The 21,812-nt window shown below is 38.6% G+C and overlaps 1 protein-coding gene and 1 long non-coding RNA gene across 8 annotated transcripts in view, besides 3 other annotated features; one reads left to right on the top strand and one right to left on the bottom strand.

Moving 5' to 3' along the window:
- UPRT (uracil phosphoribosyltransferase homolog) overlaps nucleotides 1-21,812 on the bottom strand; it is a 148,529-nt gene that overhangs the window by 21,875 nt on the left and 104,842 nt on the right. For 3 of the 6 annotated variants that reach the window (NR_030774.1, NM_001307944.1, XM_011530867.4), the window contains exon 1: nucleotides 8,383-8,964. The exons of 1 other annotated variant lie outside the window; for it this stretch is intronic. Coding sequence is in view for 3 of the 5 variants with exons in the window: in NM_001307944.1 (NP_001294873.1) it covers nucleotides 8,383-8,768 (386 nt within the window). In the remaining 2 variants the exon portion in view is untranslated. Of the gene's footprint in view, nucleotides 1-8,264; nucleotides 8,361-8,382; nucleotides 8,965-21,812 lie in introns of those variants that run through there. 2 more of the 6 variants (NM_145052.4, XM_047441832.1) reach the window with 2 other exon arrangements.
- Nucleotides 8,558-8,767: an enhancer, noted in NCBI's record as "active region_29773". NCBI's record gives its function as "activates an Ori minimal core promoter by ATAC-STARR-seq in GM12878 lymphoblastoid cells {active_cell/tissue: GM12878}" and the evidence as "EXISTENCE:reporter gene assay evidence [ECO:0000049][PMID:35858748]".
- Nucleotides 8,928-8,977: an enhancer, noted in NCBI's record as "active region_29772". NCBI's record gives its function as "activates an Ori minimal core promoter by ATAC-STARR-seq in GM12878 lymphoblastoid cells {active_cell/tissue: GM12878}" and the evidence as "EXISTENCE:reporter gene assay evidence [ECO:0000049][PMID:35858748]".
- Nucleotides 8,987-21,812, top strand: part of LOC124905200 (uncharacterized) — a 58,324-nt gene continuing 45,498 nt past the window's right edge. For both annotated transcript variants that reach the window (XR_007068269.1, XR_007068268.1), the window contains exon 1: nucleotides 8,987-9,545. This is a non-coding gene — a long non-coding RNA (uncharacterized LOC124905200). The remainder of the gene's footprint in view (nucleotides 9,546-21,812) is intronic.
- Nucleotides 8,998-9,047: an enhancer, noted in NCBI's record as "active region_29771". NCBI's record gives its function as "activates an Ori minimal core promoter by ATAC-STARR-seq in GM12878 lymphoblastoid cells {active_cell/tissue: GM12878}" and the evidence as "EXISTENCE:reporter gene assay evidence [ECO:0000049][PMID:35858748]".

Raw genomic sequence — 21,812 nt, 5'->3', positions numbered from 1 at the left:
TATAATGGTGAAAAGCCTTGTCCAATGGAAAACTATCACAATCTTAAACATATATGCACCTAACATAGGACCTCCCAAATTTATAAAACAATTACTAACAGACCTAAGAAATGAGTTAGACAACAACACAATAACAGTGGGGGACTTCAGTACTCCACTGACAGCACTAGACAGGTCATCAAGACAGAAGGTCAACAAAGAAACAATGGATTTAAACTATACCTCGGAACAAATTGACTTAACAGATACATACAGAACATTTCGTCCAACAACTGCAGAATACATATTCTATTCAACAGTGCATGGAACTTTCTCCAAGACATACCATATGATAGGCCATAAAACAAGCCTGAATAAATTTAAGAAAACTGAAATTATATCAAGCACTCTCTCAGACCGCAGTGGAATAAAACTGGAAATCAACTCCAAAAGTAACCTTCAAAATCATGCAAATACATGAAATTAAATAACCTGTTCCTGAATGATCACTGGGTCAAAAACAAAATCAAGATGGAAATTTAAAAATTCTTCAAACTGAATGACACATACCTCCCAAATAATGACACAACCTCCCAAAACCTCTGGCATACAGCAAAGGCAGTGCTAAGAGGGAAGTTCACAGCCCTAAACACCTACATCAAAAAGACTGAAAGAACACAAACTGACATTCTAAGGTCACACCTCAAGGAACTAGAGAAACAAGAACAAACCAAACCCAAATCCAGCAGAAGAAAGGAAATAACCAAGATCAGAGCAGAACTAAGTGAAATTGAAGCAAAAAAAAAAATATAAGATAAATGAAACAAAAAGCTGGTTCTTTGAAAAGATAAATTAAATTAATAGACTATTAGCAAGATTAACCAAGAAGAGAGAAAATCCAAATGACCTCACTAAGAAATGAAACAGGAGATATTACAACTGACACCAGAGAAATACAAAAGATCATTCAAGGCTACTATGAACACCCTTACACACATAAACTAGAAAACCCAGAAGAGATGGATAAATTCCTGAAAAAAATACAACCCTCCTTGCTTAAATCAGGAAAAATTTGATACCCTGAACAGACCAATAACAACCAGCAAGACTGAAATGGTAATTTAAAAATTACCAACAAAAAAAAAGTCCAGGATCAGATAGATTCACAGAAGACTTCTATGAGACATTCAAAGAAGAATTGAAAACATTCCTTTTGACACTATTCCACAAGACAGAGAAAGAGGGAATGCTCCCTAATTCATTCTATGAAGCCAGCATCACCCTGATAGCAAAACCAGGGAAGGATATGACCAAAAAAGAAAACTACAGACTGATATCCTTGATGAACATAGATGCTAAAATCCTTAACAAAATACTAGCTAACCAATTCCAACAGCACATCAAAAAGATAATCCACCATGATCAAGTGGGTTTCATATCAGGGATGCAGGGATGGTTTAATGTATGCAAGTCAATAAATGTGACACACCACATAAACAGAATTAAAAACAAACATCACAGGATCATCTCAATAGATGCAGAAAAAGCATTCAACAAAATGCAGCATACCTCCATGATTAAAACTCTCAGCAAAATCAGCATAGAAAGGACACAACTTAATGTAATAAAAGCCATCTATGACAAACCCACAGACAACATAATACTAAATGGGGAAAAGTTCAAAGCATTCACTCTAAGAACTGGAACAAGACAAGGATGCCACCCTCACCATTCCTCTTCAACATAGTACTGGAGGTCCTAGCCAGAGCAATCAGACAAGAGAAAGAAATAAGGGGCATCCAAATTGATAAAGTGGAAGTCAGACTGTCACTGTTTGCTGAGGATATGATCTTTTACCTTGAAAACCCTAAAGGCTCCTCCAGAAAGCTCCTAGAACTGATAAAAGAATTCAGCAGTTTCTGGATACAAGATTAATGTACACAAATCAGTAGCTCTTCTATACACAAACAGTACCCAAGCTGAGAATCAAATCAAGAACTCAACCCTCTACAATAGCTGCCAAAAAAAATAAAATCCTTAGGAATTTACCTAAGGAGTTGAAAGACCTCTACAAGTAAAACTTCAAAACACTGCTGAAAGAAATAATAGATGACACAAATGAATGGAAACACATCCCATGCTCATGGATGGGTAGAGTCAATATTGTGAAAATGATCATACTGCCAAAAGCAATCTACAAATTCAATGCAATTCCCATCAAAATACCACCATCATTCTTCACAGAATTAGAAAAAACAATTCTAAAATTCATATGGAACCACAAAAGACCCCACACAGCCAAAGCAAGACTAAGCAGAAAGAACAAACCTGGAAGTGTCACACTACCTGATTTCAAACTATACTATAAGGCCACAGTCATCAAAACAGCATGGCACTGGTACAAAAATAGGCACAAAGACCAATGGAACAGAACAGAGAACTCAGAAATAAACCCAAATACTTATAGCCAACTGATCTTCGACAAAGCAAACAAAAATATGAAGTGGGGAAAGGACACCCTTTTCAACTAATGTTGCTGGGATAATTGGCTAACCACATGTAGGAGAATGAAACTGGATCCTCATCTCTCACCTTATACAAAAATCAACTCAAGATGGATTAAGGGCTGAAATCTAAGACCTGAAACTATAAAAATTCTAGAAGATAACTTTGGCTTACATACATTGGCTTAGCCAAAGATTTCATGACCAGGAACACAAAAGCAAATGCAATAAAAACAAAGATAAATAGCTGGGACTTAATTAAACTAAAGAGCTTTTGCACAGCAAAAGAAACAGTCAGCAGAGTAAACAGACAACCCATATAGTGGGAGAAAATCTTCACAATCTATACATCTGACAAAGGACTAATATCCAGAATCTACGAGGAACTCAAACAAATCAGCAAGAAAAAAAAAAACAAACAATCCCATCAAAAAGTGGGCTAAGGACATGAATAGACAATTCTCAAAAGAAGATATACAAATGGCCAACAAATATATATATATGATGGAATACATATCAAATATATATATATGATGGAATACTAGTCAGCCATTAAAAAAATGAATTAACAGCATTTGCAGTGACCTGGATGAGATTAGAGATTACTATTCTAAGTGATGTAACTCATGAATGGAAAACTAAACATCATATGTTCTCACTAGTATGTGGCAGCTAAGCTATGAGGATGCAAAGATATAAGAATAATATAATGGACTTTAGCAACTTGGGAGGAAAGGGTGGGAGGGGGTCAAGGGATAAAAGACTACAAATATGATGCAGTGTATACTGCTTGGGTGATGGGTGCACCAAAATCTCATAAATCACCACTAAAGAACTTACTCATGTAATCAAATACCACCTGTACCCCAATAACTTATGGAAAAAAATAAATAAGTGAAACCTGAAAGCTTTAAAAAAATAAAACAAATGTTGAAATTATTGCAAAAAAATGGGACAGAAAAACAAGGGAAACTATCATTTTATCTGATTACAATTGCTACATTAATTATCCTTTGTGTCAGGGACTGTGCCAGGTCAGACCCCCTTTCTGCCTCCTTGGAGTCCAGTCTAGTTAGGTATACCAGGATATGCCCAGTAAATGTTATAACAGAGGTCCGTATAGCTTAGTGGTGACTTCCTCCTTCCTGCTCTAAAAGTCAGAGGACTCACACGGGAAACACACAAAAACCGAAAATATGTCCATGTTTTAAACAATTTGCACGTCACAGTTTTTTTCTGCGGTGGGCATTTTGGTTTTGTGCAAGCTGGAAGGAAATGTTGGGAGATTCCTCCAGTGTTGATGTAATGCTAGGTCAGGCTCTCTAGCCTAGTTCTGTTTAGTGTGTGGAATCCCTGGATCACCATATCTATAGCCCGAATCAGCAGGCTAGCAAATCAGCACACAAGGGAGACTGGCCATTCTCCCAGGGGCAATGGCCCAGTCTAAACACAGCACAATTACCTGTGGTCAGGTTTTACTCAAGACTATACAAACAACTGCTAAGGATGGGAGTCAGGAACTTGTATTTTAAAAAAAGAGAGAGAGACTCCACAGGCAATTCTGATGCACACAGCTTTGGTTAAGGACAATACATTACTTAGTCACATAACTCAAATCACATTAGATTGCACTCACATTAGGGTTACACAGGATGTTCATTCACCCTAAGGATAATTTTCTCCCCTCCAGGTGACTAAAGAGAGTCACAAGGCTGAATGTGCTCCTTTTTTTGTCCTATGTCACATACTGACATACTCTAACATTGCTAAACTTTTAAACAAGCAGCTTGCTGAGGCCATGCCAAAGCCCCACCTAGGACAAATACACAGGAAGCATTCAACAGCTCACACAACAGCTTTAATGTTTCAGGAAACAAAAAATAAAAAACAAAAAACTGGACAGGGAGGATGATCTTTTAAATACACTGCATTGCCTTTAAATATGAGGTCATGAACTATATTCACAGGAAAAGCACATTACTCAGATTTTGCTGAGTTTAGTATATAAAGGAGGCAGAAGAGAAGGATGTGTGGTTTAATCCATTGCAACAACAACAAAACGACATAAATGAAGAAATTTTTTCTTATCCCAAGTTCACCAGCAACCCACATACGTATGGCTGAGCAAATAATCTACTCAGTGTTTACTGCACTTTCAAAGAGAGAAATTTATTTCCTTGAAATTCAATAATACAACCAACATATTATGTTTCAAATATTGCACATTTCAAAATCTAAAAAGACATTTTAAATCAATACAGACAATGTTCTCAATCTTGCCTGTTTCACATATATACAACAACATGCAGTCCTGCTGGCTCAATCCCGATTTCCCCATACCAAAGTCAATTCACAAAGCAATCCCTTCACTATATAGATGCTAAGGACCAGAAACAATAAAAGAAAAAATATGTACTCCAGTGGCTTCTATTATCGGACAGTTCCACAGTGCACATTTATGCTGTCACATCAAAATAGAGAAGAGAATAAGCCCCAAAGAGAACAGGGTATGATAACTGATGGCACCTTCCATAACTAGACCTATGTAAATATAGCTCCTCTTACCATAGGCACCTTAAACCAGCCTCCTAGAGGGGCTAAAACAGGTCTTGTGAGAGAGGATGACAATTTTTTAAAGATAAAGGGAATATAAAGCCTCTAATTTGGTTAACAAAAACAAAACTAAAAACAATGTCCCCAGCCTAAATAAGCAGCAATACATTACTAAAAATTGTGGTGGGTCTTTCCATACTATATCAAAACAAGATAAAAATTATCTACAATATCCCAGTATTCATTTTCAAGATAAAAAAGTGAATTCCACATAGAGTTAAATTCATTTTACTGTCTTCTGACAAATCAAGAAGACAGCACTTATGAATGCAATTAGAAGCATGCACAAATCCAAACATGAGGCTTGAAATTCCTTAAATGTGAACAGCTCTTCACAGTTCATAATGAATATTCATGAACAGTATCTTGTTTTAGCCTCCCAGGGGCTCCATGTGATATTTACCAACATCTTCATTTTACAAATGATAAAGGTGAAGCACAGAGATGCTAAACATATTGCCTAAATCACTTCTCTGGATCCTGCTGTCTCCTTCCAAACTTAGAGGAAAAAAAAAAAAGGATTCCACTTACACCCAGGTTTACTACATAACCCAGGTTTTTCTGACTAATGACATATAATCAGGTATTATTTTGTCATATGTGAATGCTAAATGCCATTCCCTCTCCAAGCGCTATAGCAAGGGCACTTCACCTTTACATTATCATGACACTTTGTGAAATCTAAAAAACTAAGGAATCCTCACCCTCTAAAAAAAAAGGCACATATGTGAATGTTCATAGCAGCATTATTCATAATAGCCAAAGAGTGGTAAACCACCCAAATGTTCACCAACTGATGGATAAACAAATTGTGGTATATTCATATAATGGAGTATCATTTAATCATAAAAAGGAAAGATCCCACACGGATGAACCTTGAAAACATGCTAAATGAAATGAGTCACAAAATGACCACATATTGTATGATAATGAAATGTCCAGAATAGACATTTTTTATATGTAATGTGCAGAATGGGCAAACCATTAGAAATAGAAAGTAGATTAATGATTGTCTAGGGCTTTGGGTGGGTTGGGTGAAAATGGGGAGTGACTGTTTAATGGGCATGAGGTTTCTTGCTGGGGTGATGACAAATGTTCTAAAACTGTGGTGATGAATGCACAGCTGTGAACATACTTAAAACCACTGAATTATACACTTTAAATTCTTGAACTGTATGGTCTGTGAATTATATCTCAATAAAGATGTTATTTAAAAACAACTATTAAAAATCTTCATATGAGTAAAATTTCCCAGTTAATTTATGAGGGTTTGTTAAAGCCCTGAACCCATCTACTGGTACGAGGGAGTCGAAGACCCAAGCGTAGTAACTTCTGCTCTATAGAAACAAGAATCATCATCTATTTTTCTTTGTTGTATATGTAAGATTTATTTTGGCTGCCCCTACCCTACCACAACTACAGCAAACCTATGCCTCCTATTTTTTAGGATCACTATTTTGTCTATTAGATAACATAACCACAGTAGTTTTCAATATTGATTCATTAAAAAGAGTAAAATAGTATAGTTTCATAAATATAATTTTAAGAGCTACAAAAAAACTCTAGTAATTGAGCATCTATTATTTGCAAGGCATGGCCGGCATTCAAAAATGTAAAAGATTTCTGCCTTCAAGATGTCATAGGCAGGATAAGATCTATACAAAAATAACAATATACGAAAAAGAAGGTGAATCTTGCATTAAAAAGACCAGGGAAGATAAGCCAGGAATAATGATTAAAGGGAAGCTTCTTGGCAGAGGTGGACAATTATTTAATGCTGTGTTTCACCCTGAAGAATAAGTATCCTGAACGTACATAAAGGAGACACAGGGAATTCCAGATGAGAGCAGAAACAGATATGTTTCAGAATTGTTCCTAGGAACTATGAAGAAGGGCCTTCATCCCAAGCTAAGGGGGCCAGGCATGGTGGCTCACACCTGTAATCCCAACATTTTAGGAGGCCGAGGCACGAGGATTGCTTGAGGCCAGGAGTTCAAGACCATCGTGGACAATATAGCAAGACCTCCATCTCTACAAAAAAATAAAAAATTAGCCGGGGGGCAGTGCCATGTCCCTGTAGTCCCAGCTACTCAGGAGGCTAAGGCAGGAGGATTACTTGAGCCCAGAAGTATGAGGGTACAGTAAGCTGTGATCTCACCACTGCACTCCAGCCTGGGTGACAGAGAAAGATCCTGTCTCAAAAATATCAATCAAGCTAAGGATCCTGGACTTTATTTGGTAGGCTCTGAGAAGCCAAAGAAGGTTGCTGAGTAGGGCAATTACTGAATCAAAGATGTATGTTATGAAGATTGATTGTACAGTAATGTATGGGTGCATGTGGAAGAGAGGAAAAACTGCAAGCAGAGAAACAGTATTATTACAATAGTGTAAGACAAGGTTTCTAGAGTCTGGTTTAGGGAGTGGCATCTGTCATTCAGTAGCCATTTTTAAAAGATCAAGGCATGTCCCCCCAACCCCTGCCACTAAAAAAGGGGTGTTTTGATATGCTGCTCATTTAAAGTGCTGCCAATAAAGAAAATAGCTGTAGTTCATCATGGTACATATTTCCCTGGAGAAAACCCATTTACAACGTAGGTTTAGAAATTTCAAAATTACATTTTAACATGAAGTTCTGGCTACATTGGTTTGTGGGATTAGGAAGGGCCAAAGGCTCCTTTAGGCTCCCTTTGATCCATTAACTATGTTCTGTGAGTTTACAGTGAAAAATGATAAGAGTTGGACGATAAGCTTTCATGTGATCAAGTAAACCTGAACTCCAAGACTAAAAGACCTTGTTTGCAGTAGCAAATACTAAAGGGTCAGGGCCTGAATAGAATTTCCTTGAAATTGCTTTATTTCTATTTATGAACCTGAGGTGATTGGTGGTAGTGCATAACCTTGGATAGTAACCATTTCTGGGTTATAGGTTTACCATGTGGACAAGCACTGCCCACATAGTATAGGGGAGTTTACCTGCCTGGAATGGCCAAGGAGTTGTCTTTCCTGGGAGAGACAAAGAGCCCAGAGGCTACCTAAAGTCTTCCTCCCCACCCAAAGTGATGTTAGACACCGGAACTTGGAAAGAGAAGGTTGGCGTTCGAGTTACACGACACACACACACACACACACACACACACACACACACACACACCAAATAAAAGGTCTTACCCCAATCTCCAAAGTTTGCCAAGGCCAAGAACACTGTCTCTTAGCCCTTTTACTTCCAATCCCCGCCCACAGCCTGCAAGACCCTCCACTTCCCTTTCCCCTTCCGCTCTTGGCTTACTTGTCACGGATGATGGTCTGTAGCTCCCGTATCTGATCATTCATAGGCAGCAGCTTAAGCTGCGCCCCGATCTGCCGGGAGAGTTCGCAGTCCTCTAGGAAGGAGTTGCCAGCTGGTGCGTCATAGCTGCTACTGTCACCACTACCACTGTTGCCCTCTGAGTTGAGGCTGGAGCCGCCGCAGGCCCCAGAGTCCAGCTCGGCCGGCAGGCTAGAATGGGCGTACCCCGTGAGGAGAATCACCTTGGCCCTGGAGGCTCTGTTTCCCCCTGCGTGGTCCAGGATCAGATCGCCAGGTCGCAGCTGCTCGGGACTTGGGGTTGAGGCAGAGTTTACTTGCTGGTTGTGACAGGGCATGGAGTCCGGACACTGTAACTCCGTGGCCATACACCGGGCCCCGGGCTATCCCCGCTGCTACTGAACACTAAAGATAAAGAGGAACGGGTAGAAAGGACAGATGCTCACGTGCTCTCTCGGTTGCTCCCGCCTCCTCAGAACATCTAACCCTGGCTGTCCTTTCACCCCTAGGCCGCTGTTGGTTTCCTTTAGCACACTTTGGCTCACTCCCGCCCACACCAGACGTACTGCCTGCCTAGACACCCTATTGGCTGCACTCCCCGCCACTCTGCGGCGCCACTGCTTGTTAACCCTTTGAGTCACCCTTGCTACGTGGGTTCCCACAGGTAGCTAAGCCCCCGCAGCGAGGCCAAGGATGCCAGCTTGAAGGATCTTCCGGGGGCCCCTGGGGCTTCTGCATTCAGAACTTTGGGTGATTAGTAGAGCCAGGAAAAACTGGGGGTGGCAGGTGATGATACACAGTTACACACGTAAGGCCCATGTTTTCAGACTTTGTGACCTAGCAGAGAAATTATATCTCAGTAACCGCATCTTCAGTTAGCTTGTCTGCATAACAGAAGGAAGAAGTAAAAAAATGCCTAGCAGGCTGCTGAAGAGGCTGTCCTCTACTAGACTGTTCTAGAAACTGCAGCTTCCCAAGTATGCTTGACCGCCAAAGCTTTTCTTATCTTTATTGGTTGGGCCCCACAGTGTACACGTTGTCATGGGGACTCAGGCGGCATTTCAGATCCACTATCATTTTGAATCTTTAAAGTACTTGGAAAGACGCTTATTTTTAAGTGTATGGACTCACTATAACGGCCTGAGGTAAGAGTGTCTAGGGCAGTACTTTTCAAACATCAGTATGTACCACAATAATTGTAGAGCTTGTTAAAATGCAGGTTCTTACGGCTCATTTTTGAGATTGTGATTCTGTAGATCCGAGATGGGATACAAGAATCTTTTTTTTTTTTTAACTTTTAAGTTCAGGGATATATGTGCAGGTTTGTTACATAGGTTAACTTCTGTCATGGGGGCTTGTTGTAAAGATTATTTCATCGCCCAGGTATTAAGCCTAGTACCCACTAGTTGTCTTTCCTGATCCTCTCCCTTCTCACACCATGCACTCTGCAGTAGGCTCCAGTGTGTGTTGTTCCCCACTATGTGTCCATGTGTTCTCATCATTTAGCTCCCACTTATAAGTGAGAACATGCAGCATTTGGTTTTCTGTTCTTGTGTTAGTTTGCTAAGGATAATAGGCTCCAGCTCCATCCATGTCCCTGCAAAGGACATGATCTCATTATTTTTTATGGTTGCATAGTATTCCATGGTGTATATGTACCACATTTTCTTTATCCATTCTATCATTAATGGGTAGTTAGGTTGATTCCATGTCTTTGTTATTGTAAATAGTGCTGGAGTTAACATATGTGTGCATGTGTCTTTAATAAAACAATAATTTATGTTCCTTTGGGTATATACCCAGTAATGGGATTGCTGAGTTGAATGGTATTTCTGTCCTTCCTTTTTTTAACATGCCTATACAGATTTTTTTATAATTTTTTTTTTATTTCCATAGGTTATTGGGGAACAGGTGCTGTTTGGTTAGATGAGTAAGTTCTTTAGTGGTGATTTGAGAGATTTTGGTGCATCCATCACTCGAGCAGTATACACTGTACCCTATTTGTAGTCTTTTATCTCTCAAGCCCTTCCCACCCTTTTCCTCCAAGACCCCAAAGTTCATTGTATCATTCATATGCCTTTGTATCCATCATAGCTAAGCTCCCACTTATGAGTGAGAACATACAATGTTTGGTTTTCCATTCCTGAGTTACTTCACTTAGAATATTAGTCTCCAATCTCATCCAGGTCGCTGCAAAAGCCATTAATTCATTCCTTTTTATGGCTGAGTAGTATTCCATATATATATACATATATATATATACACATATATATATGTGTATATATATATATACATATATATGTATATATACACATATATATACACATATATATGTGTATATATATATATATCTCACAGCTTCTTTATCCACTCATTGATTGATGGACATTTGGGTTGGTTCCACGTTTTTGCAATTGCGAATTATGCTGCTATAAACATGCGTGTGCAACTATCTTTTCTGTATAATGACTTCTTTTCCTCTGGGTAGATACCCAGTAATGGGATTGCTGGATGAAATGGTAGTTCTACTTTTAGTTCTTTAAGGAATCTCCACACTGTTTCCATTAGTTGACATTCCTACCAGCAGTGTAGCAGTGTTCCCTGTTTGCCACATCCATGCCAACATCTACTATTTTTTAATTTCTTTGATTATGGCCATTCTTGCAAGAGTAAGGTGGTATTAAATTGTGGTTTTAATTTGCATCTCTCTGATAATTAGTGATGTTGAGCATTTTTTAATACATTTCTTGGCCATTTGTATATCTTCTTTTGAGAATTGTCTATTCATGTCCTTAGCCCACTTTTTGATGGGATTGTTTGTTTTTGTCTTTCTGATTTGAGTTCCTCGTACATCCTGGATATTAGTCCTTTGTCAGATGTATAGATTGTGAAGATTTTCTCCCACTGTATGGGTTGTCTGTTTACTCTGCTGACTGTTCCTTTTGCTGTGCAAAAGCTCTTTAGTTTAATTAAGTCCCAGCTATTTATCTTTGTTTTTATTGCATTTGCTTTTGTGTTCCTGGTCATGAAATCTTTGGCTAAGCCAATGTCTATAAGGGTTTTTCCAAAGTTATCTTCTAGAATTTTTATAGTTTCAGGTCTTAGATTTCAGTCCTTAATCCATCTTGAGTTGATTTTTGTATGAGGTGAGAGATGAGGATCCAGTTTCATTCTCCTACATGTGGTTAGCCAATTATTCCAGCACCATTAGTTGAAAAGGGTGTCCTCTCCCCACTTTATATTTTTGTTTGCTTTGTCGAAGATCAGTTGGCTGTATTTGGATTTATTTCTGATTTTGTGTTTTGTTCCATTGGTCTGTGGGTATATTTTAATACCAGTACCATGCTGTATTCGTAACTATTGCCTTATAGCATAGTTTGAAACCAGGTAATATGATGCCTCCAGATTTATTCTTTTTGGCTATATGGGCTATTTTGCTTCAATATGAATTTTAGAATTGTTTTTTCTAATTCTGTGAAGAATGATATTAGTATTTTGATGAGAATTGCATTGAATGTGTAGATTGCTTTTGGCATTATGATCCTGTTCACAATATTGATTCTACTCGTCCATGACATGGGTTATGTTTCCATTTGTTTGTGTCGTCTATGATTACTTTCAGAAGTGTTTTGAATTTTCCTTGTAGAGGTCTTTCACCTTCTTGTTTAGATATATTCCTAAGGATTTTTTTTTCACATAAAGTGTTTATTTTTTCCTTATTATACTTTAAGTTCTGGGGTATTTGTGCAAAACGTCCAGATTTGTTACATAGGTATACATGTGCCATGGAGGTTTTCTGCACCCATCAACCCATCGCCTACATTACGTAGTTTTCCTAATGCTATCCCTCCCCTAGCATCCCAACCCTGAAAGACCACAGCATGTGATGTTCCCCTCCGTGTATCTATGTGTTCTCATTGTTCAACTCACACTTATGAGTGAGAATATGAGGTGTTTGGTTTTCTGTTCTTGTGTTAGTTTGCTGAGAATGATGGTTCCCAGCTTCATCCATGTCCCTGCAAAAGACATGAACTCATCCTGTTTTTATAGCTGCATGGTAATCCATGGTATCTATGTGCCACATTTTCTTTATCCAGTCTAAAATTGATGGGCACTTGGGTTGGTTCCAAGTCTTTGCTATTGTGAATAGTGATACAATAAACACATGTGTGCCTGTGTCTTTATAGTAGAATGATTTATAATCCTTTGGGTATATACCCAGTAATGGAATTGCTGGGTCAAATGGTATTTCTGGTTCTAGATCCTTAAGGAATCCCCACACTATCTTCCACAATGGTTGAACTAATTTACACTCCGACCAACAGTGTAAAAGCGTTGCTATTTCTCCACATCCTCTCCAGCATCCGTTGTTTCCTGACTTTTTAATGATCACCATTCTAATTGGCGTGCGATGGTATGTTATTGTGGTTTCAATTTGAATTTCTCTAATGACCAGTGATGATGAGCTTTTTTTCATATGTTCGTTGGCTGCATAAATGTTTTCTTTGGAGAAGTGTCTGTTCATATCCTTCACCCACTTTTTGATGGGGCTGTTTGTTTTTTTCTTGTAAATTTATTTACGTTTTTATAGATTCTGGATATTAGCCCTTTGTCAGATGGGTAGATTGCAAAAATTTTCTCCCATTCTGTAGGTTGCCTTTTCACCCTTATGATAGTTTCTTTTGCTGTGCAGAAGCTCTGTTGTATAATTAGATCTCATTTGTCCATTTTGGCTTTTGCTGCCATTGCTTTTGCTGTTTTAGTCATGAAGTCTTTGACCATGCCTATGTCCTGAATGGTATTGCCTAGGTTTTCTTTTAGGGTTTTTATGATTTTAGGTCTTGTGTTTAAGTCTTTAATCCATCTTGAGTTACTTTTTGTATAAAGTGTTAGAAAGGGGTCCAGTTTCAGTTTTCTGCATATGGCTAGCCTGTTTTCCCAACACCATTTATTAAATAGGAAATCATTTTCCCATTGCTTGTTTTTGTCAGATTTGTCAAAAATCAGATGGTTGTAGATGTATGGTGTTATTTCTGAGGCCTCTGTTCTGTTCCATTGGACTGTATATCTGTTTTGGTACCAGTACCATGCTGTTTTGGCTACTGTAGCCTGGTAGTAGAGTTTGAAGTCAGGTAGCATGATGTCTCCAGTATTGTTCTTTTTGCTTAGGATTTTCTTGGCAATGTGGGCTCTTTTTTGGTTCCATATGAAATGTAAAGTAGATTTTCCAGTTCTGTGAAGAAAGTCAGTGGTAGCTTGATGGGAATAGCATTGAATCTATAAATTCATTTGGGCAGTATGGCCATTTTCACGATATTGGTTCTTCCTATCCATAAGCATGGAATGTTTTTCCATTTGTTCGTGTTCTCTCTTATTTCCTTGAGCAGTGGTTTCTAGTTCGCCTTGAAGAGGTCCTTCACACCCCTTGTAAGTTTTATTCCTAGGTATTTTATTCTCTTTGTAGCAATTGTGAATAGGAGTTCACTCATTATTTGGTTCTCTGTCTGTTATTGGTGTATAGGAATGCTAGTGATTGTTGCACAGTGATTTTGTATCCTGAGACTTTGCTGAAGTTGCTTATCAGCTTAAGGAGATTTTGGGCTGAGATAATGGGGTTTTCTAAATGTACAAACATGTCATCTGCAGACGGAGACAATTTGACTTCCTCTGTTCCTATTTGAATACCCTTTATTTCTTTCTCTTGCCTGATTGCCCTGGCCAGAACTTCCAATACTATGTTGAATAGGAGTGGTGAGAGAGGCCATCCTTGTCTTGTGCTGGTTTTCAAAGGGAATGCTTCCAGCATTTGCCCATTCAGTATGATATTGGTTGTGGGTTTGTCATAAATAGCTCTTATTATATTGACATACATTCCATCAATACCTAGTTTATTGAGAGTTTTTAGCATGAAGGGCTGTTGAATTTTATCAAAGGCCTTCCCTGCATCTGTTGAGATAATCATGTGGTTTTTGTCATTGGTTCTGTTTATCTGATGAGTTACATTTATTGATTTGCATATGTTGAACCAGCCTTGCATCCCAGGGATGAAGCCAACTTGATCGTGACAGACAAGCTTTTTGATGTGCTGCTGGATTTGGTTTGCTAGTATTTTATTGAGGATTTTCACCTTGATGTTCATCAGGGGTATTGGCCTGAAATTTTCTGTTTTTGTTGTGTCTCTGCCAGGTTGTGGTACCAGGATGATGCTGGCATCATATAATGAATTAGGGAGGAATTCCTCTTTTTCTATTGTTTGGAATAGTTTCAAACGGAATGGTACAAGCTCCTCCTTGTACCTCTGGTAGATTTTGGCTGTGAATCTGTCTGGTCCTGGACTTTTTTTTGTTGGTAGGCTATTAATTACTGCCTCAATTTCATAATTTGCTATTGCTATATTCAGGGATTAGACTTCTTCCTGGGTTAGACTTGGGAAGGTGTATCTGTCCAGGAATTTATTCATTTCTTCTAGATTTTCTAGATTATTTAGGTAGAGGTGTTTATAGTTTTCACTGATGGTCATTTGTATTTCTGTGGGACCAGTTGTGATATACCCTTTATCATTTTTTATTGTGTCTATTTTATTCTTCTCTCTTTTCTTCTTTATTAGTCTGGCTAGCGGTCTAATTTGTTGATCTTTTCGAAAAACCAGCTCCTGGATTCATTGATTTTTTTTGAGGGTTTTTTGTGTCTCTATCTCCTTCAGTATTGCTCTGATCTTAGTTATTTCTTGTCTTCTGCTAGCATTTAAATTTGTTTGCACTTTCTTCTCCAGTTCTTTTAATTGTGATGTTAGCATGTTGATTTTGGATCTTTCCTGCTTTCTCTTGTGGGCATTTAGTGCTATAAATTTCCCTCTAAACAATGCTCTAAATGTGTCCCAAAGATTCTGCTATGTTGTGTCTTTGTTCTCATTGGTTTCAAAGAAAATCTTTATTCCTACCTTAATTTCGTTATTTACCCAGTAGTCATTCAGGAGGAGGTTGTTCAGTTTCCATGTAGTTGTGCAGTTTTGAGTGAGCTTCTAAGTCTGGAGTTATTTTTCTTTTTTTTATACTTTAAGTTCTAGGGTACATGTGCACAACGTGCAGGTTTGTTACGTATGTATACATGTACCATATTGGTGTGCTGCACCCATTAACTCGTCATTTACATTAGGTATATCTCCTAATGCTATCCCTCCCACCTTCACACACCCCACGACAGGCCTTGAACTGTGATATTCCCCTTCCCATGTCCAAGTGTTCTCATTGTTCAATTCCCACCTATGAGTGACAACATATGATGTTTGGTTTTGTGTCCTTGTGATAGTTTGCTGAGAATGATGGTTTCCAGCTTCATCCGTGTCCCTACAAAGGTCATGAGCTCATCCTTTTTTATGGCTGCATAGAATATGTGCAACATTTTCTTAATCCAATCTATCACTGATGGACATTTCGGTTGGTTCCAAGGCTTTGTTATTGTGAATAGTGCCTCAATAAACATACATGCGCATGTGTCTTTATAGCAGCATGATTTATAATCCTTTGGGTATATACCCAGTAATTGGATGGCTGGGTCAAATGGTATATCTAGTTCTAGATCCTTGACGAATCGCCATACTGTCTTCCACAATGATTGAACCAGTTTACAGTCCCACCAACAGTGTAAAAGTGTTCCTATTTCTCCACATCCTCTCCAGAACCTGTTATTTCCTGACTTTTTAATGATCGCCATTCTAACTGGTGTGAGATGGTATCTCACTGTGGCTTTGATTTGCATTTCTCTGATGGCTAGGGATGATGAGCATTTTTTCATGTGTCTGTTGGCTGCATAAATGTCTTCTTTTGAGAAGTGTCTGTTCATATTCTTCACCCACTTTTTGATGGGGTTGTTTTTTTAATTCTAAATGTGTTTCGGTTATTTGTAGATTCTGGATATTAGCCCTTTGTCAGATGAGTAGATTGCAAACATTTTCTCTCATTCTGTAGGTTGCCTGTTCACTCTGATGGTAGTTTCTTTTGCTGTGCAGAAGCTCTTTAGTTTAATTAGATCCCAACTGTCAATTTTGTCTTTTATTATCATTGCTTTTGGTGTTTTAGACATGAAGTACTTGCCAATGCCTATGTCCTGAATGGTATTGCCTAGGTTTTCTTCCAGGGTTTTTATGGTTTTAGGTCTAACATTTAAATCTTTAATCCATCTCGAATTAATTTTATTATAAGGTGTAAGGAAGGGATCCAGTTTCAGCTTTCTACATATGGCTAGCCAGTTTTCCCAGCACCATGTATTAAATAGGGAATCCTTTCCCCATGGGTAGTTTTTGTCAGATTTGTCAAAGATCAGATGGTTGTAGATATGCGGCATTATTTCTGAGGGCTCTGTTCTGTTCCATTGGTCTATATCTCTGTTTTGGTACCAGAACCATGCTGTTTTGGTTACTGTAGCCTTGTAGTATACTTTGAGGTCTGGTAGCATGATGCCTCCAGCTTTGTTGTTTTGGATTAGGATTGACTTGGCAATGTGGGCTCTTTTTTGGTTCCATATGAACTTTAAAGTAGTTTTTTCCAATTCTGTGAAGAAAGTCATTGGTAGCTTGATGGGGATGGCATTGAATCTCTAAATTACCTTGGGCAGTATGGCCATTTTCACAATATTGATTCTTCCTACCCATGAGCATGGAATGTTCTTCCATTTGTTTGTATCTTCTTTTATTTCATTGAGCAGTGGTTTGAAGTTCTCCTTGAAGAGGTCCTTCACATCCCTAACAAAAAGAAAGGACATCCACACCAAAACCCCATCTGTATGTCACCATCATCAAAGACCAAAGGTAGATAAAACCACAAAGATGGGGGAAAAACAGCAGAAAAACTGAAAAATCTAAAAATCAGAGTGCCTCGCCTCCTCCAAAGGAACACAGCTCCTCACCAGCAACAGAACAAAGCTGGACAGAGAATGACTTTGAAGAGTTTAGAGAAGAAGGCTTCAGATGATCAAACTACTCCGGGCTAAAGGAGGAAGTTTGAACCCATGGCAAAGAAGTTAAAAACATTGAAAAAAGATTAGACAAATGGATAACTAGAATAACAAATGCAGAGAAGTCCTTAAAGGACCTGACAGAGCTGAAAACCACAGCACAAGAACTACGTGACAAAGGCACAAGCCTCAGTAGCCAATTCGATCAACTTGAAGAAAGGGTATAAGTGATGGAAGATCAAATGAATGAAATGAAGTGAGAAGAGAAGTTTAGAGAAAAAAGAATAAAAAGAAATGAACAAAGCCTCCAAGAAATATGGGACTATGTGAAAAGAACAAATATATGTCTGATTGGTGTACCTCAAAGTGATGGGGAGAATGGAACCAAGTTGGAAAACACTCTGCAGGATATTCTCCAGGAGAACTTCCCCAATCTAGCAAGGCAGGCCAACATTCAAATTCAGAAAATACAGAGAATGCCACGAAGATACTCCTCGAGAAGAGCAACTCCAAGACACATAATTGTCAGATTCACCAAAGTTGAAATGAAGGAAAAAATGTTAAGGGCAGCCAGAGAGAAAGGTCGGGTTACCCACAAAGGGAAGCCCATCAGACTACCAGCTGATCTCTTGGCAGAAACTCTACAAGCCAGAAGAGAGTGGGGGCCGATATTCAACATTCTTAAAGAAAAGAATTTTCAACCCAGAATTTCATATCAGCCAAACTAAGCTTCATAAGTGAAGGAGAAATAAAATCCTTTACAGACAGGCAAATGCCGAGAGATTTTGTCACCACCAGGCCTGCCCTAAAAGAGCTCCTGAAGGAAGCACTCAACATGGAAAGGTACTAGTCACTGCAAAAACATGCCAAACTGTAGAGACCATCGAGGCTGGGAAGAAACTGCATCAACTAACGAGCAGAATAACCAGCTAACGTCATAATGACAGGATCAAATTCACACATAACAATATTAACATTAAATGTAAATGGGCTAAATGTTGCAATTAAAAGACACAGACTGGAAAATTGGATAAAGAGTCAAGACCCATCAGTGACACACAAAGGCTCAAAATAAAGGGATGGAGGAAGTTCTACCAAGCAAATGGAAAACAAAAAAAGGAAGGGGTTGCAATCCTAGTCTCTGATAAAACAGACTTTAAACCAACAAAGATCAAAAGAGACAAAGAAGGCCATTACACAATGGTAAAGGGATCAATTCAACAAGAAGAGCTAACTATCCTAACTATATATGCACCCAATACAGGAGCACCCAGATTCATAGAGCAAGTCCTTAGAGACCTACAAAGAGACTTAGACACCCACACAATAATAATGGGAGACTTTAACACTCCACTGTCAACATTAGACAGATCAATGAGACAGAAAGTTAACAAGGATCTCCAGGAATTGAACTCAGCTCTGCACCAAGTGGACCTAATAGACATCTACAGAACTCTCCACCCCAAATCCACAGAATATACATTCTTTTCAGCACCACACCACACCACACCTATTCCAAAACTGACCACATAGTTGGAAGTAAAGCACTCCTCAGCAAATGTAAAAGAACAGAATTTATAACAAACTGTCTCTCAGACCACAGTGCAATCAAACTAGAACTCAGGATTAAGAAACTCACTCAAAACTGATCAACTACATGGAAACTGAACAACCTGCTCCTGAATGACTACTGGGTACATAACGAAATGAAGGCAGAAATAAAGATGTTCTTTGAAACCAACGAGAACAAAGACACAACATACCAGAATCTCTGGGACACATTCAAAGCAGTGTGTAGAGGGAAATTTATAGCACTAAATGCCCACAAGCGAAAGCAGGAAAGATCCAAAATTGACACCCTAACATCACAATTAAGAGAACTAGAGAAGCAAGAGCAAACACATTCAAAAGCTAGCAGAAGGCAAGAAATAACTAAGATCAGAGCAGAACTGAAGGAAATAGAGACACAAAAAACCCTTCAAAAAATTAATGAATCCAGGAGCTGGTTTTTTGAAAAGATCAACAAAATTGATAGACTGCTAGCAAGACTAATACAGAAGAAAAGAGAGAAGAATCAAATAGATGCAAAAAAATGATAAAGGATATATCACCACCGATCCCACAGAAATACAGACTACCATCAGAGAATACTATAAACACATCTATGCAAATAAACTAGAAAATCTAGAAGAAATGGATAAATTCCTGGACACATACACCCTCCCAAGACTAAACCAGGAAGAAGTTGAATCCCGGAATAGACCAATAACAGGCTCTGACATTGAGGCAATAATTAATAGCCTACCAACCAAAAAAAGTACAGGGCCAGATGGATTCACAGCTGAATTCTACCAGAGGTACAGGGAGGAGCTGGTACCATTCCTTCTGAAACTATTCCAATCAATAGAACAAGAGGGAATCCTCCCTAACTCATTTTATGAGGCCAGCATCATCGTGATACCAAAGCCTGGCAGAGATACAACAAAAAAAAGAGAATTTTAGACCAATATCCCTGACTAACATCAATAGTCCTGAGTTCTAATTTGATTGCACTGTGGTCTGAGAGGCTGTTTGTTATGATTTCTGTTCTTCTGCATTTGCTGAGGAGTATTTTACTTCCAAGTATATGGTCAATTTCAGAATAAGTGCGATGAGGTGCAGAGAAGAATGCATATTCTGTTGATTTGGGGTGGAGGGTTCTGTAGATGTGTATTAGGTCTGCTTGGTCCAGAGCTGAGTTCAAGTCCTGAATCTCCTTGTTCATTTTCTGTCTCATTGATCTGTCAAATATTGACAGTGGCATGTTAAAGTCTCCCACTATTTTTGTGTGGGAATCTAAATCTCTTTGTAGGTCTTTTAGAACTTACTTTATGAATCTGGGTGCTCCTGTATTAGATTCATATATATTTAGGATAGTTAGCTCTTCTTGTTGCCTTGATTCCTTTACCATTATGTAATGCCCTGCTCTGTCTCTTTTGATCTTTGTTAGTTTAAAGTCTGTTTTATCATAGACCAAGATTGCAACCCCTGCAGTTTTTTGTTTGTTTGTTTGTTTGTTTTGCTTTCCATTTGCTTGGTAAATTTTCCTCCATTTCTTTATTTTGAGCCTTTGTGTGTCTTTGCACGTGAGATGGGTCTTCTGAATACAGCACACCGATGGGTCTTGAATCTTCATCCAATTTGCCAGTCTGTGTCTTTTATTTGGATCATTTAGCCTATTTACATTTAAGTTTAATATCATCATGTGTAAATTTGTTCCTGTCATTATGATGCTAGCTGGTTATTTTGCCCATTAGTTGAGGTACTTTTTTCATGGTGTTGATGGTCTTTACAATTTGGTATGTTGCTGCAGTGGCTGGCACTGGTTGTTCTTTCCATGTTTAGTGCTTCCTTCAGGAGCTCTTGTAAGGCAAGTCTGGTGGTGACAAAATCCATCAGCATTTGCTTGTCTGTAAAGGATTTTATTTCTCCTTCTCTTATGAAGCTTAGTTTGGCTGGATATGAAATTCTGGGTTGAAAATTCTTTTCTTTAAGAATGTTGAATATTGGCTCCCACTCTCTTCTGGCTTGTATCATTTCTGCGGAGGCATCTGTTGTTAGTCTGATGGGCTTCTTTTTGTGGGTAAGCTGACCTTTCTCTCTGGCTGCCCTTAACATTTTTTCCTTCATTTCAACCTTGGTGAATCTGAATATTATGTGTCTTGGAGTTTCTCTTCTCGAGGAGTATCTTTCTGGTGTTCTCCATATTTCCTGAATTTGAATGGTTCTGTTTATGTGATGGATTATGTTTATTGATTTGCATATATTGAACCAGCCTTGCATCCCAGGGATGAAGCCCACCTGATCGTGGTGGGTAAGCTTTTTGATCTGCTGCTGGATTCGATTTGCCAGTATTTTATTGAGGATTTTCGCATCAATGTTCATCAGGGATGTTGCTAAAATTCTCTTTTGTTTATTGTATCTCTGCCAGGCTTTGGTATCAGGATGATGTTGGCCTCATAAAATGAGTTAGGGAGGATTCCCTCTTTTTCTATTGATTGGAATAGTTTCAGAAGGATAGGTACCAGCTCCTCTTTGTACCTCTAGTCAAATTCAGCTGTGAATCATTCCGGTCCCAGACTTTGGTTGGTTGGTAGGCAGGCTATTAATTATTGCTTCAATTTCAGAGCGTGTTATTGGTGTATTCAGAGATTCAACTTCTTCCTGGTTTAGTCTTGGGAGGGTGTATGTGTCCAGGAATTTATCCATTTCTTCTAGACTTTCTAGTTTATTTGGGTAGAGGTGTTTATGGTATTCTCTGATGGTAGTTTGTATTTCTTTGGGATCTTTGGTGATATCCCCTTTATCATTTTTTATTGTGGATTCATTGATTTTTTTGTAGGGTTTTTTGCATCTCTATCTCTTTCAGTTCTGCTCTGATCTTAGTTATTTCTTGCCTTCTGCTAGCTTTTGAATTTGTT

Source organism: Homo sapiens, chromosome X (assembly GCF_000001405.40).
Source record: "Homo sapiens chromosome X, GRCh38.p14 Primary Assembly".
Taxonomy (NCBI): domain Eukaryota; kingdom Metazoa; phylum Chordata; class Mammalia; order Primates; family Hominidae; genus Homo; species Homo sapiens.
Note: the sequence above shows the minus strand (reverse complement) of the source record. Positions and strands in the feature narration are given on the sequence as shown.